Source organism: Homo sapiens, chromosome 9 (genome assembly GCF_000001405.40).
Source record: "Homo sapiens chromosome 9, GRCh38.p14 Primary Assembly".
In the NCBI taxonomy this organism is placed as follows: Eukaryota; Metazoa; Chordata; class Mammalia; order Primates; family Hominidae; genus Homo; species Homo sapiens.
The window spans coordinates 124,480,948-124,508,780 of record NC_000009.12 but is presented as its reverse complement, the minus strand read 5'-3'; the positions used below and the strand labels follow the sequence as shown (position 1 = coordinate 124,508,780).

General features: G+C 60.2%; 1 protein-coding gene across 1 annotated transcript, besides 13 other annotated features; it reads left to right on the top strand.

The window, feature by feature from the left end:
• Window positions 396–5,313: an enhancer, noted in NCBI's record as "NotI/BamHI fragment". NCBI's record gives the evidence for it as "EXISTENCE:reporter gene assay evidence [ECO:0000049][PMID:18579725]".
• Window positions 396–5,324: a biological region, named in NCBI's record as "NR5A1 5' promoter region". NCBI's record gives its function as "regulatory_interactions: NR5A1".
• Window positions 1,264–1,286: a protein binding site, noted in NCBI's record as "SBM site". NCBI's record gives its function as "positive regulation of transcription" and the evidence as "EXISTENCE:protein binding evidence [ECO:0000024][PMID:18579725]".
• Window positions 1,287–1,431: a promoter, noted in NCBI's record as "StuI/FspI fragment for -97 promoter". NCBI's record gives the evidence for it as "EXISTENCE:reporter gene assay evidence [ECO:0000049][PMID:10965053]".
• Window positions 1,290–1,315: a protein binding site, noted in NCBI's record as "E-box probe". NCBI's record gives its function as "positive regulation of expression in endometrial cells" and the evidence as "EXISTENCE:protein binding evidence [ECO:0000024][PMID:18165439]".
• Window positions 1,300–1,305: a transcriptional cis regulatory region, noted in NCBI's record as "E-box". NCBI's record gives its function as "required for promoter activity" and the evidence as "EXISTENCE:site-directed mutagenesis evidence [ECO:0005528][PMID:10965053]".
• Window positions 1,302–1,625: a promoter, noted in NCBI's record as "-85 to +239 promoter". NCBI's record gives its function as "methylation-dependent promoter" and the evidence as "EXISTENCE:reporter gene assay evidence [ECO:0000049][PMID:17519303]".
• NR5A1 (nuclear receptor subfamily 5 group A member 1) lies at window positions 1,382–27,545 on the top strand. Its single transcript, NM_004959.5, has 7 exons — window positions 1,382–1,532; window positions 5,371–5,487; window positions 5,561–5,702; window positions 8,066–8,691; window positions 15,632–15,751; window positions 17,553–17,700; window positions 25,776–27,545. Exons 2-7 carry the CDS (start codon window positions 5,386–5,388, stop codon window positions 26,021–26,023), a joined length of 1,386 nt encoding a protein of 461 aa, NP_004950.2. The 5' UTR covers window positions 1,382–1,532; window positions 5,371–5,385; the 3' UTR covers window positions 26,024–27,545.
• Window positions 1,533–1,558: a protein binding site, noted in NCBI's record as "Ad4 site". NCBI's record gives the evidence for it as "EXISTENCE:protein binding evidence [ECO:0000024][PMID:10965053]".
• Window positions 4,634–5,324: an enhancer, noted in NCBI's record as "H3K27ac-H3K4me1 hESC enhancer chr9:127265736-127266426 (GRCh37/hg19 assembly coordinates)". NCBI's record gives its function as "activates a minimal SCP1, AML or CMV promoter by ChIP-STARR-seq in naive H9 embryonic stem cells {active_cell/tissue: H9 hESC(naive)}" and the evidence as "EXISTENCE:reporter gene assay evidence [ECO:0000049][PMID:30033119]".
• Window positions 7,222–7,723: an enhancer, noted in NCBI's record as "H3K4me1 hESC enhancer chr9:127263337-127263838 (GRCh37/hg19 assembly coordinates)". NCBI's record gives its function as "activates a minimal SCP1, AML or CMV promoter by ChIP-STARR-seq in primed H9 embryonic stem cells {active_cell/tissue: H9 hESC(primed)}" and the evidence as "EXISTENCE:reporter gene assay evidence [ECO:0000049][PMID:30033119]".
• Window positions 12,470–12,519: a silencer, noted in NCBI's record as "silent region_20263". NCBI's record gives its function as "represses an Ori minimal core promoter by ATAC-STARR-seq in GM12878 lymphoblastoid cells {active_cell/tissue: GM12878}" and the evidence as "EXISTENCE:reporter gene assay evidence [ECO:0000049][PMID:35858748]".
• Window positions 22,156–22,333: a silencer, noted in NCBI's record as "fragment chr9:127248727-127248904 (GRCh37/hg19 assembly coordinates)". NCBI's record gives its function as "represses an EF-1alpha promoter that drives an FKBP-Casp9 reporter gene in an ReSE screen in phorbol 12-myristate 13-acetate-treated (for megakaryocytic differentiation) K562 erythroleukemia cells {active_cell/tissue: K562(+PMA)}" and the evidence as "EXISTENCE:reporter gene assay evidence [ECO:0000049][PMID:32094911]".
• Window positions 26,064–26,841: an enhancer, noted in NCBI's record as "H3K4me1 hESC enhancer chr9:127244219-127244996 (GRCh37/hg19 assembly coordinates)". NCBI's record gives its function as "activates a minimal SCP1, AML or CMV promoter by ChIP-STARR-seq in naive H9 embryonic stem cells {active_cell/tissue: H9 hESC(naive)}" and the evidence as "EXISTENCE:reporter gene assay evidence [ECO:0000049][PMID:30033119]".

Below are 27,833 nucleotides of genomic sequence, written 5' to 3'. Positions count from 1 at the left end.
CCAGGCTTGTCTTGAACTTCTTGACCTCAGGTGATCCGCCCACCTTGGCCTCCCAAAGTGCTGGGATTACAGGCATGAGCCACAGTGACTGGCTGGAAAACACATAGGTTTTAAATATAGTTGGCGTTTCTACTTTTTCAGTGGCCTTCCATGAAAAAATATATATAGGGAGAGTTGGCTTCACTTCACTTATCCAGAAAAGTCCCTCTTGTTCCAGATAAGTGAGGTGTTGGGTGTGATTTATTTATTTCCTCCAATGAAGGGATATGTGGGAGGAGGGGTGGTTCTCAACAGTGACTGCCCCATAGTCACCCTGTGCCCCTCCCTGCTCTCCCAAGATGAAAGGCACGGAGGTAAATCCTCTGAGGACAGAGACTTTTCTTCTCTTTCCTATGGGATCCCTGGTGCCTGGAACAGTGCCTGACCCCTAAGTGTGCGCTCAGTAAATGTGAGACAAACAGAGGAACACACAAAAGATCCAGTCACCGTGGGAGCGGCACAACACCCTGCAACCCGGGCCCTACAGGAACAGGATATTTCAGAGCCCATCTGGGCCCAGAGATTGGATGGGGACGTCCCAGGTTGTCTAGGGAGGCCTAGCCTTCTAGATAAGGGCCCCTTCCTGCTACCCTGTCCTATCCTGGACTAGCTTCATACTTGGTTCAACCTGGGGCCACTATAGCCACCACTTGGCCTCAGAGGCAGTCTCAGCCCAGCCTCAGTTTTTCCAGCCATCGACTGGGAACATCAGCAGCCCACAGCAGATGAGGACATTCAGAGGCCACCGTGGCATGCACGCACCAGGTGTCCAGGCCGCTCACCTGCTCCCCTTCCGGCCCCCCTCTTCTTCCACCTGATGGAAGAGGAAAAAGAGGTGGAAGCAGCAGGCCGCCTAGTCAAGTCGCCATGGCCTTGCCTCCGCACTGGCCTGTCCTGACTCTACTCCAATGTCCGGGCTGGGCCAGACCATGCCAGGCCAGGCCCCAGGGAGGTAGCCATTCACAAGGAGAGAGGAGCAGGCGGCAGGCCGGGTGGGGGAGCAGCCCATAAATCAAGCCCCACTCCCACCCGGTTTCTAACAAGCGGGGCTGCCTACCCGCCTCTGTGGGGTCCCTGCCTCTGGGCTCCCACAGCGGGCCTGGAACAGCCAGCTGGCCAAGGCCTCTGCAGTGCCTTGGCCTCCGCCCCCACCCTCAGCCCCCAGATAGATAGGGGTATTTTTTTTCTTTTAGGAGAAGAAGAAAAAATAGACGTAAATGAAGAGAAACACCAACAAAGAAGGCGAGAGGCCTGCAGAGTCACGTGGGGGCAGAGACCAATTGGGCCTCCGGTGGCCCCCCCACCAGGGCGGGGAGGAGGAGGAGGACGGACGGACAGGGCCAGCCTGCTGTCCGGCTGCCGCCCGCCGTGGTGTGAGGGGGTTTCTGCGCACCCACAGTCGCCACCGTCCCACCTGGGCTGCCGGAGCCTCCCCCTGGACCCCTGGTGCCCACTGCCACCCTCATCCGGTGTGAGAGCGCTGCTTCCGCTTCGTAAGTGAGGGCCTTGGCCCAGGCCTCTAATGGCCAGCCTCCTTCTGCAGTGCCTCCCTGCAGCCTGGGCCGGCCACTGCCTGCTCCACTTAGTGACCGGTGCCCCCTGCTCTGGGCAGGGAAGGTGCCAGGGGTCTCCCAGACTCACCCTCCCACCATGCTACCCCCTCTTCTTCCCTGGGCTGCCGATGGGAGGAGCCAGGCCTGTGACCACAAGCCCCATGGAGGTCCGCTGGTGTCCCGCTGTCTCTGGCCAGGCATCCACCAGGCTGTGTGGGTCTGAGCCTAGAGGTCTGTGAGTGTGTCTGGAGGGCTCTGGGCCTGTCTTGGGGCTCTGTCCCCCACCTGAGTTTCTGTGTTGTCTCTGTGGCTCTCTCTGAGTCTTGCTGTGTATCCGTGTGTCTGTCTCCGGCATCCATCTGTCAGCCTGGGTTCTGCGGCCGGGCCAGGTCTAGGCTTCCCTCCCTGGGTGGGTGGATGAGGGGCTGGAACTCCCCAGGCGGTGGGCTGGAACCTGGAACCTGTGGGGGTGGGTGCCTCGGAGCCTGGAGTGCAGAGGAGCCATGGGCTTCCAGCCGGTGAGAGTAGAAACCCTTGGGGAGAGGGGATTGGAGATAGAGGGAGAAGGGCCTGAGCCCAGCCCCCACCCAACCCCGGCGGCTGGGGCCTGTGTGTCCAGCTCCAGGTTTCCAGGAGACCTCGGGTGAGCTCTACCTTAGAACAGCCAACTGGGGCACCCCAGCCCATCATCCACCAACCCCCTTCCCTCCTGCAGTCACTGTCTGAGGGCTCCATTGTGGTGGGGAGCTGTTCAGAGGCGGCAGTGACCCCCACCTCCAGCTCGGGCAGATGCTCTTGTTTCTCAGGGGTTTGGGGGTGCGGGGGGTACGATTAACAGGGTCTCTGGCTCTTTCTTCCCTCCTCATCCAAGATTCTTGCATGGAAACCGCAGTACCCCATCTGTAAAGCCAACATGTTCCACTTTATGCTCGGAGAAAACTGAGGCTCTCGTTTCAGAGAGGAGAAGTGACTTGCCCGAGCTTGCACAGCTAGTCTGCGGGTTCTGCTCCTTCTGTGGGTGAGCCAGCTGAGTGCGGTCTGCGCGGGGGGTTCTCTGGCCACAACTTGCAGGCCCCAGGCCCAGCTCCAACCGAAGCCCGAGGCCTCCAGGCGGGCGGGAGCCCAGATGGAGCCTTTTGGTGGGTTGCGCCGCTGTCAATGCAAAATTGCGGTATTTTCCTGCTTGAAGATCGCAGCTTTTTGGCCTCATGGTCCCCAAACTCTCTCTGACCCCAGGTGCCAGCGGGGGCGGAGGCAGGATGCAAGCAGGCCCCTTCCTTTCGGGTCCGTTTCTCCAGCTGAAAAACAGTGGCCCCGCGGATGGTCCCTAGCCCAGAGCAACTGCTTGGCCCATAGGCCCGGGAACCCCTTTGTCCCCAAGACCGCCCAGCGCTTTCTTCCTCGCCCCACCCCCCCGTGAGAGCTCCGAGGGGAGCAGCGGGGCCCTGCCTCCGGGCTCCTCTCCCAGCTCCTGCGCCCGTAGAGGCTTCGGGTCCCCCCAGGCCTCGGACATTTGTAAAATGGGATTTCCACGAGTCCCATTTCCAGCCCAGCGACCTGAGGCTAGCGAGCAGAAGGGGTTCGCCCCAGATCTCCCCAGAGGGGCGCCACTGAGCGCTTCCGCCAGGCCACACGCGTGCTTTGCCCCTACTGCTTGGGTTCATCCTCACGACCCACCCTTAGCGAGGAAGAGCGGTCATCTACCCACTTCACAGATGCGGCAACTGAAGACCCGAGACGGGGAGAGAGCTGCTACAGGCTCGAGTGAGGAGATGTGGTGGGCCCCATGGGAGAATCTGGCTTCCACCCGTGAATCCGAGCCTCGGCCACGGTCGCCACTCGCCCTTACCCACTTCCACGCTGTAGTGCGACCAGCCACCCGCGTGGCATTCGCCACGACCCAGCTGGGTTCACAGACAGGAGCTGCCTCCTCCCACTGCAGGCGGGTGACCCAAGGCCCCCACTGCCCTATACCTGCCCAGATCGCGGGGCACTCGGGCTCCGCAGCTCTCTGGCCGCGCTCGGGGTCCGGGGAGCCGGGCTGCGGCTGGGGGGCCTGGAGGATGAGGGCGAAGACTCGAGCTGGACTGCGGAGAGGGTGCCGGCGCGGGCCGGGCTTGGGGGGAGGACACGACCGGGCCTCCGCCCCCGGATACCGCACGCGCCGATATAGAGGGGCCGGCCCCCGGCCCCGGCGCGGCGGGTTGGCGCAGGGCGGGGTGGCGGCTGAGGGGCCCGGGTCCCAGGTGCGCCTCGGAGCGGCCCCGGCGGCGGTGCGGGGGGGAACAGGGAGGCAGGATGGGGGGCGGGGAGGCGGGAGGGGGGAGCCGAGGCCCCCGCGCCGCCAGCCCCGCGCCCCCGCCTCCCCGTCCCCGGCCCGAGCGGCCGTCATCGCGGGCGGGCGGCGCTGCGCCCGGGTGCGGCTCCTCGCCGGCGGCGGCGGCGCGGCCGAGAGGTGCGGGCTCCGCGCGGGCGGGACGCGGGGCGCTGCTCGCAGGAGCGACCAGGTGGGCGCCGGGCCGACCGCAGCCGCCGTCGCGCCCCCTCTCGCGTCCCGGGCCCTGGCTCTTCGCGCTTCCCTCCTCCGGACTTCGCCTCTCCGCCCGAGGTCGCTCCCTCGCCTCGGGCTCGGCTTCCCGGAGCCCGCCGACCCCCGCCCGAGGTCTCCCCGCCCGACGTCCCGGTGGCAGCGGCGGCTCGGGCTGCGCCTCCCGTTGCCGTCGCTGCTGCGGCTTTGTCTCCCCCGGGGAGGGGGTCCCGGCGGCTCTGCGTTTTCGGGCTCTCGGTCCCGGCGCCGTCGTTTTCCGCCTCCTGCGGCCCGGGCCCCCGTCTGGGTCCGACCCTGCGGGGCCTCGCCTTGGCGCTTGGGCTCCTGCCCGGCAGGTTTCCGCGCGTCCCCTGTCCCCGACCCTCGGGCTGGGCGCTTCCGCCTCCAGGTTTTCTCTCCGTGTTTCTGTAGCTCCCCGGCCTCGTCTCTCCGGGGCTCCTCTCGTCTCGGCGTCTCTGTCTGTCGTCTATCGTTGTGTCTCTGGCTCTGCGTCAGTCTCTCTTGGGTTTTCTCTTCGGGCCTCCGCTGTCTCTCCGAGTCTCTGATCCAATCCCCCACCCCTCGTTTCTCTCTCTCTCTCTCTCTCTCGTCTCTCTCTCTCTCTCTCTCTCTCTCTGTCTCCCTGTCTCTCTCCATCCCTCCCTGTGTCTCGTCCCCGCCGGGTTCTCTCTAGCTGGGCGTCTCAGTGTCTGTGTCTCTGGCACTCTCGGACTGGCCTCGTGTCTGCGCCCGGTGGCGTCGGTCGTTGTCTCTCGCCAGAGTTTCTTCCCATCTCTGGCTCCCCCGGACTCTGTCTCTGCCTCCTTCGTCTCTGTCGGGTTCCCAGAACACCCGGGCCGGGCGCCCCAGCGCTCCTGGGTCCCCTGGCGTCTTCCCCGCGGCTGAGCCCATCTCTTTTTCTCAGAATCGGGGTTTTGTTCTCAGACAAACGAATCCCAATCGAAGCGCATCGAACCCGAGGGCCCCAGATCGGGCGCGACGGGGTCCGCGCGGGAGGAGCCCCCCGGACGGGGCGGGAGCGTGGGGCCTGGCAGGGGAAGGCCGGGCGCGGGGACTGCACCGGACCCACCCCGGGACGCTGCGCGGGGCGCTCGGTGGGTGCCGGCGGCAGCGCCTGGGCACAGAGAGGGGATTACGCGACGGGCCGGCGACAGCGGCTGGGGCGGCGGCCGCGGGGACCCCAGGCTGCCGGTCTCCGCCGGCCCTCCCTGACCCGCTGTCCCTCCGCAGGCGGACGCCGCGGGCATGGACTATTCGTACGACGAGGACCTGGACGAGCTGTGCCCCGTGTGCGGGGACAAGGTGTCCGGCTACCACTACGGACTGCTCACGTGTGAGAGCTGCAAGGTGAGCGGCGAGCGCGCGGCAGGGGTGCGGCAGACGGGCGCTGCGGGGCCTCGCTGACTCTCAGCTCCCGCAGGGCTTCTTCAAGCGCACGGTGCAGAACAACAAGCACTACACGTGCACCGAGAGCCAGAGCTGCAAGATCGACAAGACGCAGCGCAAGCGCTGTCCCTTCTGCCGCTTCCAGAAATGCCTGACGGTGGGGATGCGCCTGGAAGGTGCGCGCCGCGCGGGCCTCGACCCCTGACCCCCCACAGCCTGAGGGGGTAGGGGGTGGGGGTGGGAGAGGGGCTGAGGGGATAGTACCATTGGCCTTCGCGAAGGCCCCTCGTGCGACATTAGGGCCCAGTCGCTGCAAGAGAACCGGGCGCTGGCGCTGGGTGGGCCTCGGGCGGGGAAGGGACGCTGGCAAGGCCAGCCTGGGTTGGGCTGAGAAGTATCCAAAAGTGAACCCTATGGAGATGACTCTTTCCCCAGCCCCTGCCAGGGCCCCAGCACAGGGTCGGCAGAGCTCCTCCCTCTGTGAGGAGGTCCCCATGCCCCCAAAATACCCAACCCCAGCCAGCAGAGGCCAAGTCCCAGTGCCCGCACTGTCAGTCAGGCTGGGTGACATTGGGCAAAATCCTTAACCTCTCTAAACCGCAGATTTCCCATGTGAAACATGGGCTTGGCCGGATGGAGCGGCTCATGCCTGTAATTCCAGCATTTGGGAGGCTGAGGCAAGAGGATCACTTGAGCCCAGAAGTTTAAGACCAGCCTGGGCAACATGGAGAAACCTTGTATCTATAAAATATAAAAAAGTAGCTGGGCGTGGTGACATGTGCCTGTAGTCCTAGCTACTCAGGAGGCTGAGGTGGGGGGATCACTTGAGCCTGGAAAGTCGAGGCTGCAGTGAGCTATGATCACACCACTCCACTCCAGCCTGGGCGAGAGGGAAACCCTGTCTCAAAAAATAAGTACATAAAAATAAAAAAGAAAGAAAAGAAAAGGCAGAAAGAGAAAGAAAGAAAAGAAAAATGGGCTTAACGGCAGCGCCTTCCTCCAGTGAGTGAGTGTGGGGATCGGTGCAGGCAAGCTGAAGGTGCCTAGGCGTTCATTGCCGCAGGTTAGCTGTCAAGCCCATCACGCTTTCCATTAGGATCTGCCCACCACCACCGCCCAGCCCCCACACATTCAGCTGCCCATCTGCTTGTCTGTCCGTCCATCCAAAGGGCTCTCTGGTTTATTGGCTCAGCCAGTGAGATTCCTTCCCGTCATGTTCTTAGCCAGGCCCTGAGGGGGCCGGGCAGTGGGGGACAATTGAATTGCCCCCAAGAAACCCAGGCCCCTCTTTGCCTCCCTACCCTCAACCCCAGCTCTCAGCCCAGAGAGGAGGAGGTAAGTTTTGGCAGGAAAGATTTGAGCTTCTGGAGGTGGCCGGTCACTGGACTGTGTGCTGAACAGGCAGTGGTTGATTAAGGTCTTGGAACAGTGTAGAAAGCCCCAGGTGGCTCTGAGAGTGGTGGACCACATGCCCTGCCACCTGGAGAAAGGACTCCTGGATGGGAGAGGGGACATCCTGTCCTGTCCCCAGAGCCCATGCCCCTAGTGCCAGGTCCCAAGGGGCCAGATAGCTGGCTGTTGTGGGCAGTAGAAACTCCCGTGCAGCCTGCGAGCAGCACAGCGCTGCCCACCCCAGGGGGCAGGAAGATTGGCCAGGCAGCCCCCCAGCCATCATCCCTGCTGAGCACCACCACCCCCTCTCTCCTGCTCTTTCCCCTCGCCCAGATCCCAGGGTGGGGCCCTGTCTGAGCAGGGGCGGGGGGCACACTCCAGCTGCAGAGATGTACCTGTTGGGTCTGGCTGATGACACATTCCTCGCCAGGCGGAGGAGCTTCTAGTCGGCAAGAGAGGTCCCCTCCCCCAGCATAGAGCCTTGGCCAGCTCTAAACTTGGCTTCACATTCGCAGCCAGTGAAGGATACTTGAGTCATTTTGAAGCAGGAGCTCAACAGTCAGGCAGTCAGTCAACAAACAGCTGGACCCTGGGGCCAGCGGTGAACAAGGCTGACCAGGGTCCCCTTCCGGTCACCATCTCCCTGCCAGGCCTTATGCTAGACACCTGAGCCCAGAACTTAGCCCGCAGGAGCACATGGCATGATCCACTCAGCATGATAAGAGTGGGCAAGGACAGGGCACCTGGGGCAAGGACAGTAGAGCCCGTTTGCATGAATCCAGGAGTGCTTCCTGGAAGTAGTGACATTGAGGCTGGGTGTTCAGCAAGCACAAGAGAAAAAAAAAAGTTTGAGTCAGAAGGAAAATGAAAGGCAGGGTGGAGGAGGAAGGAGATGTGTCAAACAGAGGAGTGGAGGTGAGTTCGGTGGAGTGGAAGGAGAGGGGTCTTAGCAGGGATTGCCTGAAAAGCTGAGCAGGGCCTTGAATGCCAGGCAAAGGAGACTGACTTCCCCTGTGGTCAGTGGGAGCCATGAAAGGGTGTTGAGCAGGGGAGAGAGCGGTCAGATTTGTTTGGAAAGGATCTGTGGTGGGGCAGCATGGAAGGGGGCTTAGAGAGGGTGAGTCTGACCCTCTGCCCCTGCCCACAGCCGTGCGCGCTGACCGTATGAGGGGTGGCCGGAACAAGTTTGGGCCGATGTACAAGCGGGACCGGGCCCTGAAACAGCAGAAGAAGGCACAGATTCGGGCCAATGGCTTCAAGCTGGAGACAGGGCCCCCGATGGGGGTGCCCCCGCCGCCCCCTCCCGCACCGGACTACGTGCTGCCTCCCAGCCTGCATGGGCCTGAGCCCAAGGGCCTGGCCGCCGGTCCACCTGCTGGGCCACTGGGCGACTTTGGGGCCCCAGCACTGCCCATGGCCGTGCCCGGTGCCCACGGGCCACTGGCTGGCTACCTCTACCCTGCCTTTCCTGGCCGTGCCATCAAGTCTGAGTACCCGGAGCCTTATGCCAGCCCCCCACAGCCTGGGCTGCCGTACGGCTACCCAGAGCCCTTCTCTGGAGGGCCCAACGTGCCTGAGCTCATCCTGCAGCTGCTGCAGCTGGAGCCGGATGAGGACCAGGTGCGGGCCCGCATCTTGGGCTGCCTGCAGGAGCCCACCAAAAGCCGCCCCGACCAGCCGGCGGCCTTCGGCCTCCTGTGCAGAATGGCCGACCAGACCTTCATCTCCATCGTGGACTGGGCACGCAGGTGCATGGTCTTCAAGGAGCTGGAGGTGAGTCTCTCCTCCCGCCCGGCTGGCCCTGCATCATGGTCCTCCCGGCTGCCCAAGCCTTAGCCCGACTGTCCTTTGGATAGGGCCATCCTTCCCACTGGCTTCAGGCAGTACCTGGGGACCCGGAGGCCACCCTGGGGACATTAAGGAGCATTTCCACTTATCACAGCCTCCTGGGTCCCCGCTCCCTCCCTCTCCTTCTCTCCTCCTTGAGCCTCTGCTCAAGGAGCCACTGCTGCTTTGATCTCTGCCTCTGTCTCTTCCTACTGTGTCTCTCCCTTGCATGTTGTCTCTCTGCTTCTTGGTGTCTCTGCAACCCCTTCAGCCTCTGGGGTTCCCTATTCTGGGGCTCTCTCAGTACTCATTTCCCTCATTCTCTGAGACCCTGGGCTCCCTCAAAGGACTAGCTGAGTCCTTGGGAGACTGTCTTGCCTCCCCAGGCTTCAGCCTAGTGTTGGGAAGGGGGTCCGGCCCATCCTGTCCTCCCATTCAGGGAGGCTGGCAAGGATTGGCAGTGTCACACACAGATGGGGGCTCTTAGTGTTTTAGAGTTTGGGGCATTTGTGGGCCATTCTCCTTCCCAGCTAAGGTGAAAGATCCTCCTGCCTCTGCAAATCTTGCGTATGCTGGATGGTCATGTGCATGTGTGTGGGTGTTCAGGAAGCTAGATAGGTAGGTGGGTGGGGGATTCCAGGGTCTGCCACTGATCTTCCCTGGCGAGGCAGCCTTCCTCTATGGCATGGCCTTCTTTCCCCCTGGGTCGAGGTACCTGATGCTACAGTAATCAGGAAAGCAGCAGGAGAAACTGAGGCTAGACATAGGAAAGAACTTCCCAGTCTTCCCACCTAGTGGCTTGAAGAGCCTGAGGCCCCAGAACTGCCCCTCCAGTGCCCTGGCTCTCTGAGACCTCCCTAGAGGCCCCTCCAGCTGACCAAGGCCTGCCCCTCCCTGGCCTGGGTTCAGGCACTCTTTCACCCAGGGCTATTGGTGTTTAGCTTTCCCAGGCTGACCCCCTGGCTGTTCTGGGGCTGGGTGTAAACAGCAGGGCCCGTTGCCCCCACTGCTGGGGCCACTGCAGCCTTGAGCAGCATTGTCAATGCTGACGCCACTCGGGCCTGGGCTTCCTCCAGGGGCATGAGGCCGGATGGGCTGGGGGCACTGCCTGCCCTGGCTGGTAGGTGGGGGTGGGTGCTCCGAGCCCTAGGGGCATCGCGGGACTGGGGCCTGGGCCATCTGGGAGTCGAGGATTGATGGTGGTGGCTACGGCTTCCACCGTGGAGCGCCTGTCATGGCTGAGGCCTGGGGATGTACCATGTGTCTGTCATGGGGTGGGTTTCTCACCCCAGCCCCTTCTCAACACTGCCCGCCTCTCTGGTCCGACCTAATGGATGAGGCAAAAGGCAGGGTCTTGAATACTCCCACCTGCCTTCTGCTCATGGCTGGAGGCCCTGGTGGGGATGAGGACCCCAAGCATCTTGGGTTGGTTGCTAGCTTCCCTCCAGACTTCCCATGCACCCCCCGTGCAGAGGGGAGGAGGAGCAGGGCATTCCCGGCCTTCCAGAACCCTGGATTGAGGGGCAGGGCACTTCCTCTGGCTGCCTTCCTAGTCTCCCGGGGATTTTCACGCAGGATGGGAAGGGCTTTTGTCCCAGCTTTGCTGAGTGTTTTTTCCTGCTTCTGGCTTCTCCGTGGTCCAAACCTTCCTGCTTCCCCTTCTCAAAGTCTTTGAATTGAGCCCGGGATTATGAGCAGTGGTCACCAGCTTCTCTAAAGGGGCCTTGCAGATAAGTACCAGCCCAGCCCTTAGAGCGCCTCTCGTAAGCCATGTGGAAGTTCTTTTCCACTGGTCCAGTGGACCCTGGGCTGGTGTCTCTTTGCAAAGTCCAGAGGTGAGGAGACAGAAAAGTGGGAGGGGTGTGGGTGACTCCGGCGTCTCTTCTAGCTGATCATTCATTTCCCCACCTCCAGACAGGACACATCTTAGCAGACAGAAGAGGGGGCTCTCTGGCTCTGAGAGTGGAGCAGCCCTTGGGCTGGACACTGGGGACATTAAAATCATCTGGACCCAGGAAGCTGCCAGCCTGGAGGAGAAGTCAGACATGCACTTAGATAATGCCAGTGCGAGGTGCCCAGGGCTCTGAGAGCCACGGAAGGGGCAGAGGGGACCCTGGGGGGAGAGCAAACAGCTCTAACTAAGGAAGTCGGAGAACAGTTCTGTGCCTTTCTAGAAAGTAGAGAAGGTTCAGGGAATTCCAGGCAGTGGGCACAGCAGAGGCGAAGGTCCCGAAATGTGAAGAGGCATCGTGTTCCGGGAGTTCCAATGGGCCTGTGAAGCAGGGCTGGAGAGGTTGGCAGGGCCAGAGCAGAGCCTGGAGCAGGAGTGGGTCCTTGGGCAGTGGGTGATGGATGGCTGCGGGGCTGGCTGGGGCTCCAGGTTCCGGGTCAGGGAGGGGCTCCCCTGACAGAGCTTGGGCTCTGAGCAGAGGCCCACTCAGCCCTCTGATGCTGATGACATCTTGCTGCTCGGGAGGAGTCCTGGAGTCTCAGCTGAGCTCTCAGGGGTGCCAGGGGCCCAGTTGTGTCCGATGCTGAGCTCCAAATGCCCTCTTGGGGTCTTCCTCCCCCATCTTCTTTCCCAGCTGGTATGGGGGTCCCTCCGTCTCCATGTTTCCATCTCACACCAATCCCAGCATGGTAGATTCGATAGTAGCACAGAAGTGAATATCAAAGACTAGAATCAGAGAGGCCTGTTGTCAAGTTCCAGCTCTGTCACTTACATGCTGTATGATTTTGGGCAAGTGACTTCACTCCTCCGGGCCTCAGTTTCCTCGTCTTGAAAATGGGAGGAGTTGAAATAATGTCCACCCCATTGGATTGTGGTAAAGGGTTAGTGAGTAAGGACAGGGGAAGAACTGAGCGCGGGCAGTTTCGGAAGTGGGGTCGCAGCACCCTTCCTCTCTTCCCCTTAGCTACACTGTTTAATCGACGCCTGCAGGCTTATGCAGGCCTTGGCGGGGAGGCAGCAGGGAGAGACACATTGGACCCAAGCTCCTCTGAGCACACGATTGTTCTGGGACCGTCTGAGGGTCACTTTGTCCTGCGCTTATAAAGCAACTTTTTCCCTGTGAGGTGGAAGAAACTCACCTGTACCTGCTGCTTGGTGGGCAGCAGTGCCCAGGGCCCAGGCAGTCAGCCTCTCGTCACTTACTGCGAAGGACAGGCTGGGAGGATGCAAGGGAGGACCCGGGGGGACGGTGGGGGCCAGGAGTGCCCAGTGACCCATTTTGACATCCGTTCACCCTCAACATCCAGCTCCGAGGCCCCCACTGACAGCAGATTTAACTGCCCAGATAGACGGTTTCATTTAAGCGGCAGTAACTGTCAGTCCTGGGCTGACAAATGACACCTCACTGACCACTCTGCCGGCAGAGCGCAGTGGCCAGCCCGTGGTGTGTCAGCCACCAGAGAATTACACAGCCCACCGGCCTTCACAGCCAGACCAATCGGACCCCAGGGGGCTCCAGAGGGGCCCTGCTGGGAGGGAGGTCAGCTTGGCACCCATAAATACCGGGTCTCTGAGGCAGCCTGCAGAGCGTCAAGGCTCCAGGAAGATTTGTGGCGGTCCGGTGGGAGGGGTGGATGGCTGATGTGCCCAGCAGACAGGCCAGGCTGGTGGGAGACCCAAGGGCTGGGGCTGCAAATGTCATTGTTCCCAGGGCGACAAGGAGGCCTGAGGGTAGAGGAGCCTTTAGCTTAGGGAGGAAACTTCGGAAAGTGAAAACCAACCCTCTCTGGTTAAAGGAACCTCTTAGCCACCTGCTTTCTCATGCAGGGGGGCTGGCAGCTATGGCCCTGTGGTTTTCTTTTAAATAAAAAGAGGTTGTGTGTGTGTGTGTGTGTGTGTGCGCATTCTCATCTGTGTGGGGAGTGTTTTGGAGTTTGGTGTCTTTATGCATCCATCTGTCCACCCAAGGAAAGCAGTGAGTACAAGACCTGCTTGGCCAAGGGGCAGGTGGGATCCCGGCCGGGCAGCATCCACGTAAGAACCAACAGCAGGTCCACCGATTCCCATACATCCCAATGTGTGTTCTTACGTTTTAACCAAAAAAGAGAGAAATTACATTTCCTGCTTCACAAAACAGGAAATTAGGGTGGAGGATGCATGGCCGGATGGGGGCTCGAATGCAGGGCACGGGGCACCAAAGCCTCAGCGACCATATTGTGGCTCTGTGCCCCTGGCACCCCTATCAGCCTCACTGGGCAGGGCTGCCCCATCCAGGGTCTAAGGTCTGGGTACAGAGCCTGCTCCCAGGGCTGGGCCAGCCGGGTCACCGTGACCCATCTGCTTTTGGCCTGAAGCCTTATCTCCTCATTCTACCCCTTATCGCTCCTCCGCCACCTCCCCACCCCCTTGTGTCTTCGTTCTGGGCGCAAGCGTGTCTGCTCCTGTGGGCCTGCGAGGGGCGGGGGGACAAGCCTGGCCCTGCACCACCACCTGGGTGTCTACGGTGGGCCTGAGTTTTTCTTGCTGCCAGTGTGACCCCTGGGCAGGCCCCTCCTTCCCAGGTCTCAGGAGGTTCTCAGGTCCCCAGAAGTCTGGCCGGTAGGAACCTCTGGGCAGAGCCCAGCTGCCTGAAGCCCGAGTGTTGCCTCCGGCAGGCCTCTGTTTCCTTATCTGTAATGTGGGCAGAATGTCGGCAGGGCAGGGGTGAGGTGTCCTGTGCCACACTGGGCGCCGTGCCTGGTGATAGGTGCCCTCTGAGCCTTGGCTCCCTCCTGGAAACCGCGGCTCCATGGGGGCTGGCACTTCCAAGGAGAGATACGGAGAGATGGCCGAGTCAGCCCCTGCCCAGGCCTCAGTCTCTCCGGGACCCTCCCAGTCAGGGCTGAGCCTGGGGGCACACGGCTGATGGTAGGGGCTCTGGGAAGAAAGCTTTGCTGGGAGCTGGAGGGAGCTCTGGACCCAGAGGTGAGGTGTGGATGGAGGGAATGGACACAGACCTCCCTCTTTTCCACCACGTGGGCCCGGAGGTCTGTCTGTGTGCAGTTCCTGACTTCTCCCTCTCCTTTTCTCCCCTTCTGTCTGCCTGAGGACACAGGCCCCAGGGACGCCCCAGGAGAGAAGGGGAACAGAGAGCGGGGTGCTTCTATCTCCTACGAGACAGAGCTGTTCATTAGGCTTGGCCCAGTTCCCCTCTGACTGGGGGCCGCCCCTAGGTGGGGAGCAGTCCCTCTGAGCCTCTGGTCCCAGGTAGAGAGTGGTCTCTGTGTGCCTCTGGCCCCAGGTGGGGAGTGGCCCTTCTGAGCCCCTGGCCCCCAGTGGGGAGTGGTCTCTCTGAGTCTCTGGCCCCAGGTGGTGAGTGGCCCCTCTGAGTCTCTGGCCCCAGGTGGGGAGTGGCCTCTCTGTGTCTCTGGCCCCAGGTGGGCAGTGGTCCCTCTGCTCTCTGTGCTTGTCTTGGGGAGCACCTTGCCAGTCATCAGCCCCTCTGACCACTGCTCTGGGGCCCAGAGAAGAGCTGAACACCAGTTCTGCCTCCCCAGACCTCACAGGTATTGGTGAAGACAGAGGCATTTAACTGATGCCATGAGATGTTGCAGATTCTGCATCCAGAGGGTGGAGAGGGCCTCGAGGAAGGAGAGGGATCAGGTAGAGGATCTGTAGAGGAGGCAAGGAGCCTGTGAGAGACCAGGAACTCCTGGATGGCAAGGAGGGTGAGTGAGAGGTCCTCTTCCACACCTAGTGGTTAAGAGCGCAAATCTGGAACTAGACAGAGCTGTGTGGCCTCTCTGTTCAGTTTCTTCTCTCTATCATGTGGGTGGCGACTATACGAAACTCGCAGGGCTGTAGGGCTGCAGTGGAATGACTGTCAGCTGTCATGGTTTGCATTTGCCATAGGGCACGGCCCAGGAAGGTGCGCCAGAAGTGTCTTTTGGGTCGATGGTGGCCAGCTGGTGAGTGGCACGGGCTGAGAGGGATGGGGCTGTGTCTGCCCAGGCCCATCTGCAGTGCCCAGTGTGCTTCCAAATACCCAGAAGGGCTCGTTTTGTCACAGTGGAGATTGTGGACCGGGAATGCCAGCCGTGGCCCTGGCCTGGCCCTGCCTCTGTGTGATCCCGGGAGAGTCTCTTGCCCTTTCCGGGTGGCGGATTCCTCAGCTGAAAAATAGGGATTGGGGCCAGGGGATCCCTGGCTCTGCTTCTGAGTCCTGCAGAGTCAAAGGACACTCCAAACAGGGGCTGGCCCTGCCCCTGCACCGAGTGTCTCTGGCCGCAGCCTGGGCATTCGGAATCAGCCCCTTGTTGCTGTTCGTTTCTGCTTCATGTGCCAGGCCATTGCCGCCCCCCTGCTCATGCCCTGGGCCTGACCTCAGGCCAGGTGGGACCTCCCTCCTCCTCCTGAGCCTGAGAGCTCTGCGTAGGCCCGGGGGGGAAGCCCTTGGTTTCTCCCTCATGGCTCCTGTTTGAGCAGTTGGGGCTGCCAGAGGTGTGACCGACCACAGGCTTTTAAATGTGGACAAGGTTAAAATTAATAATAACCTTGCCAGGCATTTGTAGGAGTCCTTTGCAGAGCACCTGCATGGACATTAGTCACTAACATGTATGGCATACCTAACATGTACTGGACTGTCCGCTCAGTACTTTGCCCACTTTACAGATGAGAAAACTGAGGCACAGAAAGGTTACCAGGACTTACGTAAAGTCATACAAAAGACAGAGGTGGGGCCTGAAGCCTGGCCCATTCAACCCCCAAACATCCCTTTGTTAACTGGCCAGACCTCTGTTGCACTTTGATAGCCTAGACATCTGGGTAGATGGGCACAGAGAGGTTAGCTTGCCCAGGCTGCACGCCTAGTTGGGTCTCAGTGGGAGGAGAAGGGGTGAGAGGAAGGTCCCTGGACCCTGGCTGGAGCCCGGCCCCCCGCGTGCCTCTTCCTTCCAGGTGGCCGACCAGATGACGCTGCTGCAGAACTGCTGGAGCGAGCTGCTGGTGTTCGACCACATCTACCGCCAGGTCCAGCACGGCAAGGAGGGCAGCATCCTGCTGGTCACCGGGCAGGAGGTGACCAGTCCCTCGGCCCCGCCCCTGGGCCCCGCCCTGGCCCCGCTGTGCACTTCCAGGATTCAGGGCCCCGGAGAGGAGGACCCAGGCCTCTCGGGGCTGGCTCTGGGCACCCTAATTATCAGCCCTTTCCCCACGTTCATGGAACACCCACTGGCCCAAACCCTCTGTGAGCAGCCCTGGCCCAGGCTTGAGAGGCGCCGGCCCCTGGGAGCCCTGCTCTTGGGGAGCAGCTCAGGGGGTGTGGGCATGGTGAGGAGAGGCTCATGGAGGAGGAGGTGATGGTGGCCCTGGGTCTGGAAATAACACACTGGAGTTGGCTGGGGAATGAGGGATGAGGGGGGCAGTCCCCACGTCTACCGCAGGCTCAGAGAGGGTGGAAGTGTGGAGCCCCCGGGCCCTGCTGGTGCCGGTGTGGGGGTGGCATGAGGTGAGAGATGAGGGAGGCTAGGGGGTTGCTAGTGCTGGCTTAGCAGGCAAACCTTGCAGGCCCTAAATCTCGAATGAATGAATGAATGAATGAATGGGCAAAGGGCTCCAGAGAGCTCAGAGTCGGAATTTGGGCCCCCTTAGAGCAGGGAATGAGGATCTGGGGAGTAGAAAGTCCAGATGCAGCAGGGGTCCGGGGAGAGCTTTAGGAGGAGGAGGGACATGGCCAGGTGGTATCTGAGGAGGCAGGCGGAGGGGTCAGGATGGGAGGTGGGGGGCCAGGGTGGGGACACGGGGGCACAGCCACGGAGGAAGACTCACCTGGAGAGATGGGCTGTAGGGAAAGAGAGGGAGGGGGGGAGGCAGAGAAGGGGGTTGATGGCCAGGGTCCAGCCTGCTGGCAGGAGTGCCACTCTCAGGTGGGGACACAGGAAGGGCCGTGGGGTCGGTGGGTGCTGTGGGGTGGGGAAGACAGACTCTGCTCCCAGCTCCAGCCCTCCCAGGCCCCCACTGCTCATCTCCAGCTCTCTCCTCGGTGTCACAGGCCATCGGGGCAGGAGGACGGGACGGGCAGCACTGGTCCCAGGGGGGTGTCTTTGGGGCTCCCTGTGAGCGCAGGTGCCTGCAGTCTGCATGAAGTGTGGGTGTCCGCAGGCTGGCTGAGTCTCTGTGGCCATGGGAATGCCTGTTTGTGTGTGTGTGTGTGTGTGCCTGCCTGTGTTTTATTGTGCAAAATCTCCACACACATCAGTGTGTGGGTGTCACTGTCTTCCCATCAACCCGTAAATGTGATCACATACATGGGTGTATGTGTTGCCGTGAGTGTGAGCGTACAAGGGCGGGTGTGGCCGTGTGCACACGTGTGTGCCTTCACTTCACAGAGTGGGCGACCCCATGACTGTGCTCGTGTGTGTGTGTGTGTGACTCTGAGCTGAGCTGTGACCCAGCGTGTAGGTGTGAACATGGGGGCTCTGGGAAGCCATGTGGATGTGTCTGTGTGTCCCCACACAGGCCTGCCCTCCCCAACCCCTCCCCTCCCAGCATGTAGAGGGGCCCCCTGAGCTGCTGGTGCTGCTGGGCCTGGTGCTGGGGTTTGTGTGTGAAGGAGGGGTGGACGCGGGCAGAACGTGGGTGCCTCAGCTCCGGGCTTGGCGGGTTGAGGAGAGCTCGGAAGGGTGGGCCCGGCAGCGTCCCCGGGGCTGTGCAGATGTTACCCGTGCCTGGCTCGGCACCAAGGCTGGGCCCTCCTGACGCCAGCCCATCTGACCTGCACCTCCAATCCATGCCCTCAGCCCTGCATCCCCCATCAGAGAGCCACCTGCCCGGACCCACGTCCTCTGACTGTCCCCCGCCCCGTGCCCTCTGCCCCCAGGTGGAGCTGACCACAGTGGCCACCCAGGCGGGCTCGCTGCTGCACAGCCTGGTGTTGCGGGCGCAGGAGCTGGTGCTGCAGCTGCTTGCGCTGCAGCTGGACCGGCAGGAGTTTGTCTGCCTCAAGTTCATCATCCTCTTCAGCCTGGGTGAGTGCAGCTCCAGTGACAGAGAGGTGGAGACAGCCAGAGGCGGGTGGGTGGGAGGGTGGGTGAGGCTGGAGAGGTAGCCCTGCTGTGGCCAGAGTGGCCACGAAGGAGCCTCGGGGAGAAAGGACCCCTCCCTTACTCATTCAGTGAACAAAGGTCTGAGGGCCCCCGGCCAGGGCCTGGCTCTTAAATGGGGGCTGCTCCCGCTCTGGTGGCCCATGTGACTTTAGGATTTTTATTCCAGGCTCCCATCCTGGGGTCCCTGTTTTCTCTAATCCCTGGATCTAGGGGGCCCCAATTTTGACTGTACCTCCTGGGGGCCTGGACCCCTTTGCTCATGCACACGTGCATCCATTCATTGACTCTACAAACAGGCACCGAGAAATTGCACTGGAGAAGGCACTGGGAATACCGCTGTGAGCAAAAACCCCCCAAGCCCAGCCCTTGTGGTACTGACCTTCTCTAGGGGAGACAGATCATGAGCATAATATGATTAGTAAGACGTAGGTTCCTAACACGATTAGGCAGGCATAGCCAGGAAGGTTGTGACCAGTGCTAAGGAGGAAAAGAAAGCAGAGGAGAGGCAGAGAGCAGGCCTGGCCCAGCCCAGCCCGGCCACCCACCTCACTCCCCAAGCACTTGGGGGGTCTCCTTCCCGTTGCCCTCCTGACCCCAACCCTGCCTGGGCCACTCCAGTCTGCACCCTCACTCCCTGGAAAGCCATCACAAATGCCCTCCCCATGCCCAGAGATGCTGAGGACATAGCTGTCCCTTGCCAATCGTGAAAAGACCTACAGCCTGGGTGGTTAGGGCTGAGACAGAGAGATGGGTGTGGCTTAGGGAACCCTGGGTGGGGAGCAGAGCTCTTTCTGGAAGGCTTCCTGGAAGAGGGGCATCTGAGCAGGGTTTTGGAGGATGAGTAGGAGTTTTCTGGGGGAATGAATTATTTTGCAGTGATGCAGGTGGGATGGGATAGAGATGAGTGAGTGCTTCATCACCTGGAGAGGGGGCAGGATTAAGGTATTGTCTTGGTGGCTGGCATTATAGTCACAGTCTGCGAGGGGCATGCCTGCCAGAGAGAGGGAGGAGTGGGGAGTGGGGAGTGTTGTGGAGGCAGAGGGGATTAACGAAAAGTGGGAAGCCCAGTGCTTGGGTGGGATTGGTGACATCCTCCATGCCATGTGGCTGGGTGCAGTGGGCTGGGTCTCCCGATTCTGGCAGAACAGGCTGGTAACTGGAGGGCTTATCTGCAAGGCCACCTTAAGCCACCTCTCAGGACACCAGCCGGGGCTCTGCAGGGGTCAGCAGGGGACAGCCATTGGGGTGGGGGGCGGGTAGGATCTTGGGCAGCCAGTTAGGAGCTGTGGCCTGAAATCCTTACAGGAGCCTCAGGGACCCAGGCTCGGTTGGCTGCAGCTGGGGAAGCTCCCTCCTACCTCTGCCCGCAACGGCACCTTCCCCGCAGCCTGCCAGGCTCAGCAGACTGGCACAGGATAGAGTCACAGATGTGCGTGGTGGGGGTCTGTGTGGTTGGGGCGTGGAGCCTGCAGGAATTACGTGAACGTCTGTCTCTGCATGCGTGCGTGCTGGCATGTGCAAACGATGAACTTTCATACGCTTGTGGTTTCTGAAGTGTTAGCCTGTGTGAAGAGTTTGTGTGTGACTGGGGATGGACCGGGAGATCTGGGAACATGAGTAATTTGTGGGGAAGGGTGGTGCTTGGAGGCACCTAGAATTGGAGTGTGTGTCCGCGGGAGTCCGGGTGGTTTGTAAGGTGAGAGTTCTTGACCTGGCTGCCATCACAAGGCCACTGGGAGGGCCTTAAGGAGGGGTAGGTGGAGGGTGGGCTATCAGCCAGCAGGCTCCTTTGCCAGGGCTCTGTCTGTCCTTGGGTGTCCCCTGAAGGGCAGGGACATTGTCTTGGCCCCCAGCCCCTCTTCCCACCAAAGCCCTGTGCATAGCTCTGGCGGCTGCCGGGGGTGAATCCAGGACTTCTCCTTCTCTGGGACTTAAGGAAGATGGCAGAGCTGAGCCCTCTTCTCTTGGGTCCAGGTGTGGGCGTGCTCAAAACTGGAAGTGCCCCACCCTCATGTCATGCTGGTCATCAGCCTTTTTTTCCAGATGCAGCAGCTGAGGCCTGAGAGGTGGGAGAGGCTCCAGTGCTGGGCTGGAACAGGCTGAGTTGAGGGGAGAAGGGTGCGTGCGTGCGCACTCGTGCTGTGTGTGTGACAGAAGCAAGGTGGCACAGCGCTTAGGAAAGGGAACTAGGTGGGGATGAGGAGTGGATTCTAAATCTGGTCTCTGGTCTCTTTCTGGCTGTGTGCCCTTGGGCAAGTCACTCCCCTCTCTGAGCTTCTATTTCCCCCATCTGTAGAGTGACCCTCCTAGTAATCCCTAACTTGTTACAAGGATTAAATAAGAGAATTCCCCAAAGTGTCCCAGTGCTTGGCTGACCCCTGGGAAGTGTGTGTCGGAATTGTTTTAATCATAATCACCATTATTAAGTTAATGTGCATATGCGTAAGTGAAAGAATGAAGTGAATGAATGAAGCAGCTCACAGTCTCCATCTGTATCATTGTGTCTGGCACAGTGCCTTATCCTTGGGCACAGGAACATGGGTCTGGCTGATGTGGGTGGGTGAGCCCTGAGCCCAGCAGGCCAGGAACCTGGTGAGGTTGGGGGTGCCAGAGGAGGAACAGGAGGAGATTCCAGGACCCCAGCTGATGGCAAGCAGTGAGAGAGGGATGTAGGGGGCTGCAGAGGCCTTTGGCTGGCCAGTTCCAGGTTGGGAGAGGAACCCCATCAGTTCAGTGTGATCAGGGTTGGGTCAGAGGGGAGAAACCAGCACCACTTGGCTATCCGGGAAGGCTTCCGGGGGGTGGGGGCTCTGAGCTGGGCCTAGCAGTATGAATAGGAGCATTCTGGGTGAAAAAAAAACAAGCAGCACTAATAGCTTTCCAGACTCAAGGAACAGCTTGCACAAAGTTCTGGGGAATCCTGAAAGTTCTGTGTGGCTGCAGGGGTGGGGACGGGGTGGGGAGTAGGCTGGCGAGGGGACAGGAGCTGAGCTGTGCAAAGCCTTGAATGCCGGGGCCTGGTACCTTGAACTTTCCCTTAAGCAGGCAGTAACATGATGAAATTCGCATTTTATCAAGACCCTTCTAAGTGCAGCATGGGAAAAGGATGGCAGGCAGGCAGCCCAGAGCCCTGGCAGAGGCTAGACCTGGGGCTGGGCTGGAGCAGACTCCAGGGTCTGGAGCAGAGGTCTCCTCTCCTGATCCCACCCAGACCACCAGAGCTGGGGCTCCAGGGAAACTGGGACCCGGAGAGGGACCGCCACTTGCCAGCAGACCTCCAGCTGGCGCGCAGGGCGTCCCCCTCGGGGGCGGCTCCGCCCTGGGCCGGACAGCCTGGCCACGAGTGCTTGTGCTCCCCCACCTGCCCCACCGCCCTGCGGCTCACTCAGCGCCTCCTTCGCGCCTGCCTCCGCATAAGGGTGCCATTTGGTGTCTAAATAGCCGTCTCGGGAGGGCGCGGAGGCAGGTAAGGAGGTTTAATTAAAATTAGTGCCTCTCTCCTGGCAATCACGGTATTTATGAAGATGGGCCCGGCTGGCATTGTTCTGCCGAGGACTTAATCGAAGCTTAATGGATTGACCTAACATTCGATTTCCTGACTTCCATTGAGGCGGCGGCAGCAGCATTCCCTTAAGCGTTTGCAATTTACCCACTGCTCCGCGCCAACAAAAGGCGGCCTGAATAGCAGCCCCACTCGAGGGGCCATTGTGCGCGGGGGCGCCTGCCTGAGTTACCGCTATTGGGACAACATTCTTTATGCCTCGCTGGAATGAAAGGATTATTCAAATATTCAATTAAACCATGAAAAGGGGGCTTTTCTGAGAACCTGGGGGCCCCCAGCTCTGCAGAGCTAGCGGGCTGCTCTCCGAGGTGGGGGCTCCATCTCCCAGCTCCCTCCGACCTCCACCTCCGCGAGTGCCGGGAGCTGAGCGGGCTTGGGGGGCGCAGGCTCCTCTCCAACATGCCGGTCTCCAACCTTCGGGCGCCCAGGGCCCAGAGCTGGGCATGCAGATGAGAGCCAGCTCCTTGCCACCCTGTGAGGCAGAGATGAATTTTCCCCTGTTGTGCAGATGACAGGAAACTGCAGCTCAGAGAGGGGAAGTGACTTGCCCAAGGTCACCCAGCTGGTTGTAAAGCCGGGATCTGAACCCCTGACACATGAAGGGGGCGTCTCCAGGTTTGTTTGACCCCGCTCCCGTGTCTGCTGGAAGAACGGTGTGGTGTTCTGTGCGTTGCTGGCACCGTCACATGTGTTATCCGCTGGAATCTTCACAATGATCTCTTTAGAGACTGGGGGTTCAGGGAGGCTTGGGGAAGGGGAGTGACTTGTACAAGGTCTCCAGATGAGGAGGAAGGCAAGTCTAGAGTCCAGAGTAGCCTCTCTGGGGGAATCCTAGAACCCCAGGGGTGGGGGATCTCGGACAGAACTCATGGATGGCATGGGACATAAAGTTATGTCCAATCCCACAGGAACATGCATCCCAGCTTGACCCAGCTCCTGGGCAGGGGGCCCCAGTCCTGCTTGCCTATCATGGGAGACTTGGGCTTTGGTGTCAGAGAGACTTGGGTTTGAATCCAGGCTCTGGCACCTTGTGTGTCTTGAGGGGGCCCTGGTTCCCTGAGCCCTGGGGATGCACTGCCCTGCCTGTCTGGATGTCTGCTGAGATGAACCGAGCTGGGTGCAAGGTGCCTGGGGGGTGCCCGGGAAACTGGGTCTGGGCTTCTGGACTGTAGCCACTGAGGCTCCGTTAGCGACTGTGCTTCCCTCCCCCGGCCCTGTGGCTGACCTCTGGGGGCAGTCGGGGGTTTCCAACCTGCTGAGAGCTGGGAAGCCATAGAACTGCTGGGGGTGGGGGCATCCCTGAAACCTGTCCTCCTTCTGCACCCACCCCCGCACCCCCGCTTCGGTGTCCCTGGCGCAGTGCTGCTGAGAACAGTAAATCCCGGTAAAGCCGAGGCCCTGGTCTTCCCCAGCCCCCTCCCGCCCCTGCCCCTACTGCGGTATCCTGGCCGGTCCTCCCCACTCCAGCTGCTTCCTCCAGGACCCTTTACTGATGTGTGGCCTTGAGCTGGTCCCTGTCCCCCTCCGGACCCCCATTATGAATTGTCAGAAGAGAATGTCAGGAGACTTGCTCAGCCCAGGATGGTGGGGAGCGAAGGCAGATGGGACAGGGATGGGGCCAGCAGGAGCTCAGCTAGGTGACATGACTTCCCATGACCTTTGAATATGTCTGGGGCAGCCCAGGCTAGGGAGTAGGGCTGTTCCATACAGTTGGGCAGGTCATTCACTGCACAAGAGCACCTGGGCCAGGAGGCGTTGGGATGGATATAGCAGCATCTCTCTGGACAACGGGGAACTTCCATGTAATTGGCATAAAGGTGCCTTCAGGGTTAGTGGTGACCCTGGGGAAGTGAGGAAGAAAGTGCTCCTGGCTCGCTTCAGAAGGGAGGGTGAGGAGCCTGGGCTGGGCTGGGAGGATGGAGGCCAGGTCCTGCCGTCCACCCCCGGGCCCAGCTCCGGTTTCCCTAAATCCGACTTTGGACAACACAGGCCTCAGCAGGCGCGCTGGGGGCGGCCAGGGATCAGGGTTGCCAGGAGCGTGGCGCTCTCCTGGTGCAGCGGGTGTTAAGGGGGATTAGGGGGCCAGGGCTGCACATGCTGCCTCTGGACGCCCCCGCAGCTGCAGGGCTGGGGGTGATGGGGTGGAGGAGAAGTGGGTGGATGACCATTTTCTGAGCCACTGGTCACCCCATCCCAGGCAAGGCCAGGCTAGAATTTGAGGCCTGGGGACAGATTCTGTGGGTTCCTGCTGACCCTGTGCCCCCAGGCTGGGCACCTCCTAGAAATGCTGCCCAGGAGCTGAAAGAGGCCTGCAAGCTGTGACAGGAACTTGGGTGACAAGAAACTGACCCTGGCTCTCCCCCTCCAGGGAGGAGGAAGGCTGGTCAAGTCGGGGCGGGGCAGGTAGCATTGCACCTCAGCAGCGGCTGGGATTCGAATCCACGTCTGTCTCACTCCAAAGACATTTTACTTTCTGTCTCTTCACTGCACCTCGGGTGTGGCGGACACATCAGTTGCACTCCTCTGTTCAATCATTGGTGCACGCAGAGCCAAACCCCCTCCACCCCTCCCCAAAGGGAGCCCTTCCTTGATGTTTAATGCGGGTCGTCCTGTTTGCCCCTGTCTTCCCATGGCACGTCTGCTTTGTGTACAAGCTTTATTTATTTATTTATTTATTTATTTATTTAGAGACAGAGTCTTGCTCTGTTGCCCAGGCTGGAATGCAGTGGTGCAATCTCGGCTCACAGCAACCACCACCTCCCGGGTTCACCTGATTCACCAGCCTCAACCTCCCAAGTAGCTGGGATTACAGGTGCGCGCCACCATGCCTCGGTAATTTTTTTTGTATTTTTAGTAGAGATGGGGTTTCACCATGTTGGCCAGGCTGGTCTCGAACTCCTGACCTCAAGTGACCCACCTACCTTGGCCTCCCAAACTACTAGGATGACAGGTGTGAACCACTACGCCCGGCCAACAAGCATTTCTAGTTTATGTACATGGCTGAGCCTTATCGATCTCATCCTGACCTCCCTTCTGTGATTTTTGTTTTCCGCTCAGTCCCAGGCTTTGCCCTGCATTGTGTGGGCTCCCTGACTTCTGCCTATTGCACACGACTCCTTGGGGTGCGGTCACCACGTGGCCATCCAGGCCCCCTCCTTGCCACCATGAGCAGAGATGGCCCCTGACTCATGAGCTTTGGCTTAGGATTTTTTGACTTTACGGTGGTGTAGAAGTTGAAAAACATGCATTCCGCAGAAAGCATGCCTGGAGTACCCATGTAACCCTTCTGTTTTGCGTTTTCAGCATGGTGTTCAGTAAACCCCATGAGATGTTCAACGCTTTATTGTAAAATAGGCTTGCGTCAGGTGATTTTGCCAACTGTAGGGTAATGTGGTCTGAGCACATTTAAGGTAGGCCAGGCTGTGATGTGCAGCAGGTCAGGCATAGTAAATGCCTTCTGACTTACGATATTTTCAGCTTGCGATAGGTTAGCCAGGATGTCAGCGCATCTGCACTCCTGCAGTGAATGTGCATGCTCCCCCATGGCCCCATGAGAGTCCTTCCTGGGGGTACTGGAGCCTGTCTGTTGGTCATAGGGGAGACTAAAAGCACATGCCAGCTGTCCTCTAGAATGGGGCCACCAGTCCTCCTGCATTGCAGCATGAGATGGGATACTCCCACCCACAGTGCGCCTCTGTGGGCGTGGTGCTGATGGGGTGACAGTGGTGATGGTGGCAGAGTGGGGATGCGGATGGCAACGGTCATGGAGATGAGGCATCAGTGATGATGGAGACAAGATGGCTTTGATCGTGCCAGGGGGATGGTGTTGGTTATGGCAGCAATGGTTGGCCATGACGGCGGTGAGAGCAGCTCCCATTGTGATGGCATTATTGTGGTGCCAGCTAACCCAACCCACCGAGCTTCTCACGTGCCAGACACTGTTCTTCAGAGCACTTTCCACACAGCGGCTCCCTAAATTCTCAGGACAAGGTTGTGAAGTTGGTACTGTCGTCACGCCCATTTTACAGATGGGGGACCGAGAGGTTCAATAACTGCCCAGGGATCCTCCCCGAGGGAGGCTGGTGATGGGCTTCATAATTCTTGTTCATTGTGACCACTGTGGTGATGATGATGGCAGTGATGATGGTGACAGGTGACTGTGGTTGGGTGGTTGATGGTGGCGGTGGCCATGTTCATGAAAAACACAGGCATGTGGGTATTGGTGACGATGGTGGTGTTTGTCAACCAGGGTGACAGCAATGGTGATGGCGACACGGTGCCAACGGGGAGACCATGTTGCATGGTTGGTGGCAGCAATGCCCATGTCTTTGATGGTCATAGGGAAGGTGGTATTGGTGATGCTGGTGACGGTGTTGGCCCAGCCCTGATGGGCATGGATGGTGACGCGATGGTGACCGAGAACCTCCCTTTGCAGATTTGAAGTTCCTGAATAACCACATCCTGGTGAAAGACGCTCAGGAGAAGGCCAACGCCGCCCTGCTTGACTACACCCTGTGCCACTACCCGCACTGCGGGGACAAATTCCAGCAGCTGCTGCTGTGCCTGGTGGAGGTGCGGGCCCTGAGCATGCAGGCCAAGGAGTACCTGTACCACAAGCACCTGGGCAACGAGATGCCCCGCAACAACCTGCTCATCGAAATGCTGCAAGCCAAGCAGACTTGAGCCTGGGCCGGGGGCGGGGCCGGGACTGGGGGCGGGACTGGGGGCGGGGCCTGGGCGGGGCCGCAGCCACACCGCTGGCTCCGCATGGTTCATTTTCTGATGCCCACCGAGGAGCCCCAGCCCCGTCCCAGAGGCCGCTGCCCCTGAGTTCTGACACTGTGTGTTTGGGAAGGTGGGTGAGGCTGGGCAGGGCCTGGCGGAGGTGGAGTGGCCACTGGCACTTGCCTGCTGCTTGGAGTGCCCCAAGGAGGTGGCTGTTAACCACCCGCCCCGCCCCCTCCCTGCTCCCAGCTCTCTCTCCTGGAGTCTGAAGCCTGCAGGTCCGGGGAGGAGGTTCGGGATTCCCTGGTGGGCCTCGACGTCCCTTGGATCAGAGGTCATCCCTTCCTCCTCTCCTGGAAACAGACAGGGAGAAGTTGAGCAGGTATCAACTAGGGGAGGAGAGAGGGTCTCCAGTGTTCCCCCCATAGAGACCAGGAGGGAGAGCCTCTGTTTTGTAAACTAAGGATAACCGAGTTTGCTAAATTGAGAGGGGCTATTGGGCCCTAGAGGACACTAGGAGACTGGTTAGGACAAAAAGACCTTCTCCCTAGCCCTTCTACCCCACCTGACCTCTGCAAGAGGGGGCATTGATACATCATCGGGAAAAAACTTTGCTCCAGGCATCACTGATTCCCTCTCCCACCCAAGGAGAACGTTTGGTACAATCGACATCCTAGCCCCACCCAGAGGTGGCCCTCCCAGGCTGGTATTTATCTGCAAGGTTGTAGTCAAGAGGTTTTTCTCCCCGCTTTTTGTTTTTAAGCTTCTAGACACTCCTTGAAATGTGTGTGTGATGGAGGGAAGGGGACAGATTTGAGGACTGAAGCTGGGGCTTGGGGATTGCCACTAAGTACAGCTGACGGTTTCTCCCCGGACACTCGCCTACTAAGTACCCTTGGGGTGGTGCTGGGTCATTACTTCTGAGCCCCAGCCCCAATCCAGAGAAGCGCTGTTGCCCGCCCTCCACCCACTAGGTGAACAGCAGGATGCCCTGTTGGGGGCTTCAGGTCTCTGTGGGTGGGAATGCAAGTGAACTTGGGAGGGGGCACGGGCCTGTAGATCAGGGATAGCGCTGTTGATCCCCTCTCTGTGGCTCCAACCCGTTGGGTCCCTTGCTGCAAACCCATGAAGCTGGCCCTCAGCTCCCTGACCCCCTGTCCTAGGTCATGAAGGACACTCTGCAGGGTGAAGCACCAGGGAGAGGCCTCGGCTGTCTCCTGTCCCCGGCGGGGTGCCTGCTGTCCGTCCCGCTTTCATGTTACTGTTGCAGCTTGTGCTGAGCCTGCCCAGTTGGAGGAGACTGGGCACCCCTGCCTCCTGCCTCCCGCCTCCCGCCACCCTGTCTCAGTACCTCCCCTCCCCGCCCCCTGAAACATGTGCCCCTGCCAAGGCCGGAGACCCACAGCCCTGAAACGAGAAGTGCCCTTAAGGATCACCCCAGCCCCCACAGCCCTGGAATAAATTTCGCAATTAGTTTCCAGCTACCTTTGCCTGTGTACGTTCTGGGGCCAAAGCAGAACGGCCCGGGTGGATTCCGGGTGGTCTAGGTTGGGGCAGCGCTCTGACTTGGATGGAGGTGGCACGCAGACCCTCTTTGCTTCAAAACTCTGAGGAGGCAGGTGGGTGGCGGGGCCGGGTGGGGGGACACCAGGCACTGTTGGGGTTTGGGACCCACCTCATCCCTGGGACCCTGAGGCACTGGGAGGCCAGGGGGATGCTGTAGCCTCTCTGCCTGTTGCATGCTGGCCATGCCAGCTCAGCCCCCATC

Bases quoted from the DNA above. Each gene is read 5' to 3' on its own strand.
- NR5A1 (NM_004959.5), top strand. From the start codon at position 5,386: ATGGACTATTCGTACGACGAGGACCTGGACGAGCTGTGCCCCGTGTGC. The intron at 5,488-5,560 runs GTGAGCGGCGAG...CAGCTCCCGCAG, and splicing joins TCACGTGTGAGAGCTGCAAG to GGCTTCTTCAAGCGCACGGT. The intron at 8,692-15,631 runs GTGAGTCTCTCC...TCTTCCTTCCAG, and splicing joins TGGTCTTCAAGGAGCTGGAG to GTGGCCGACCAGATGACGCT.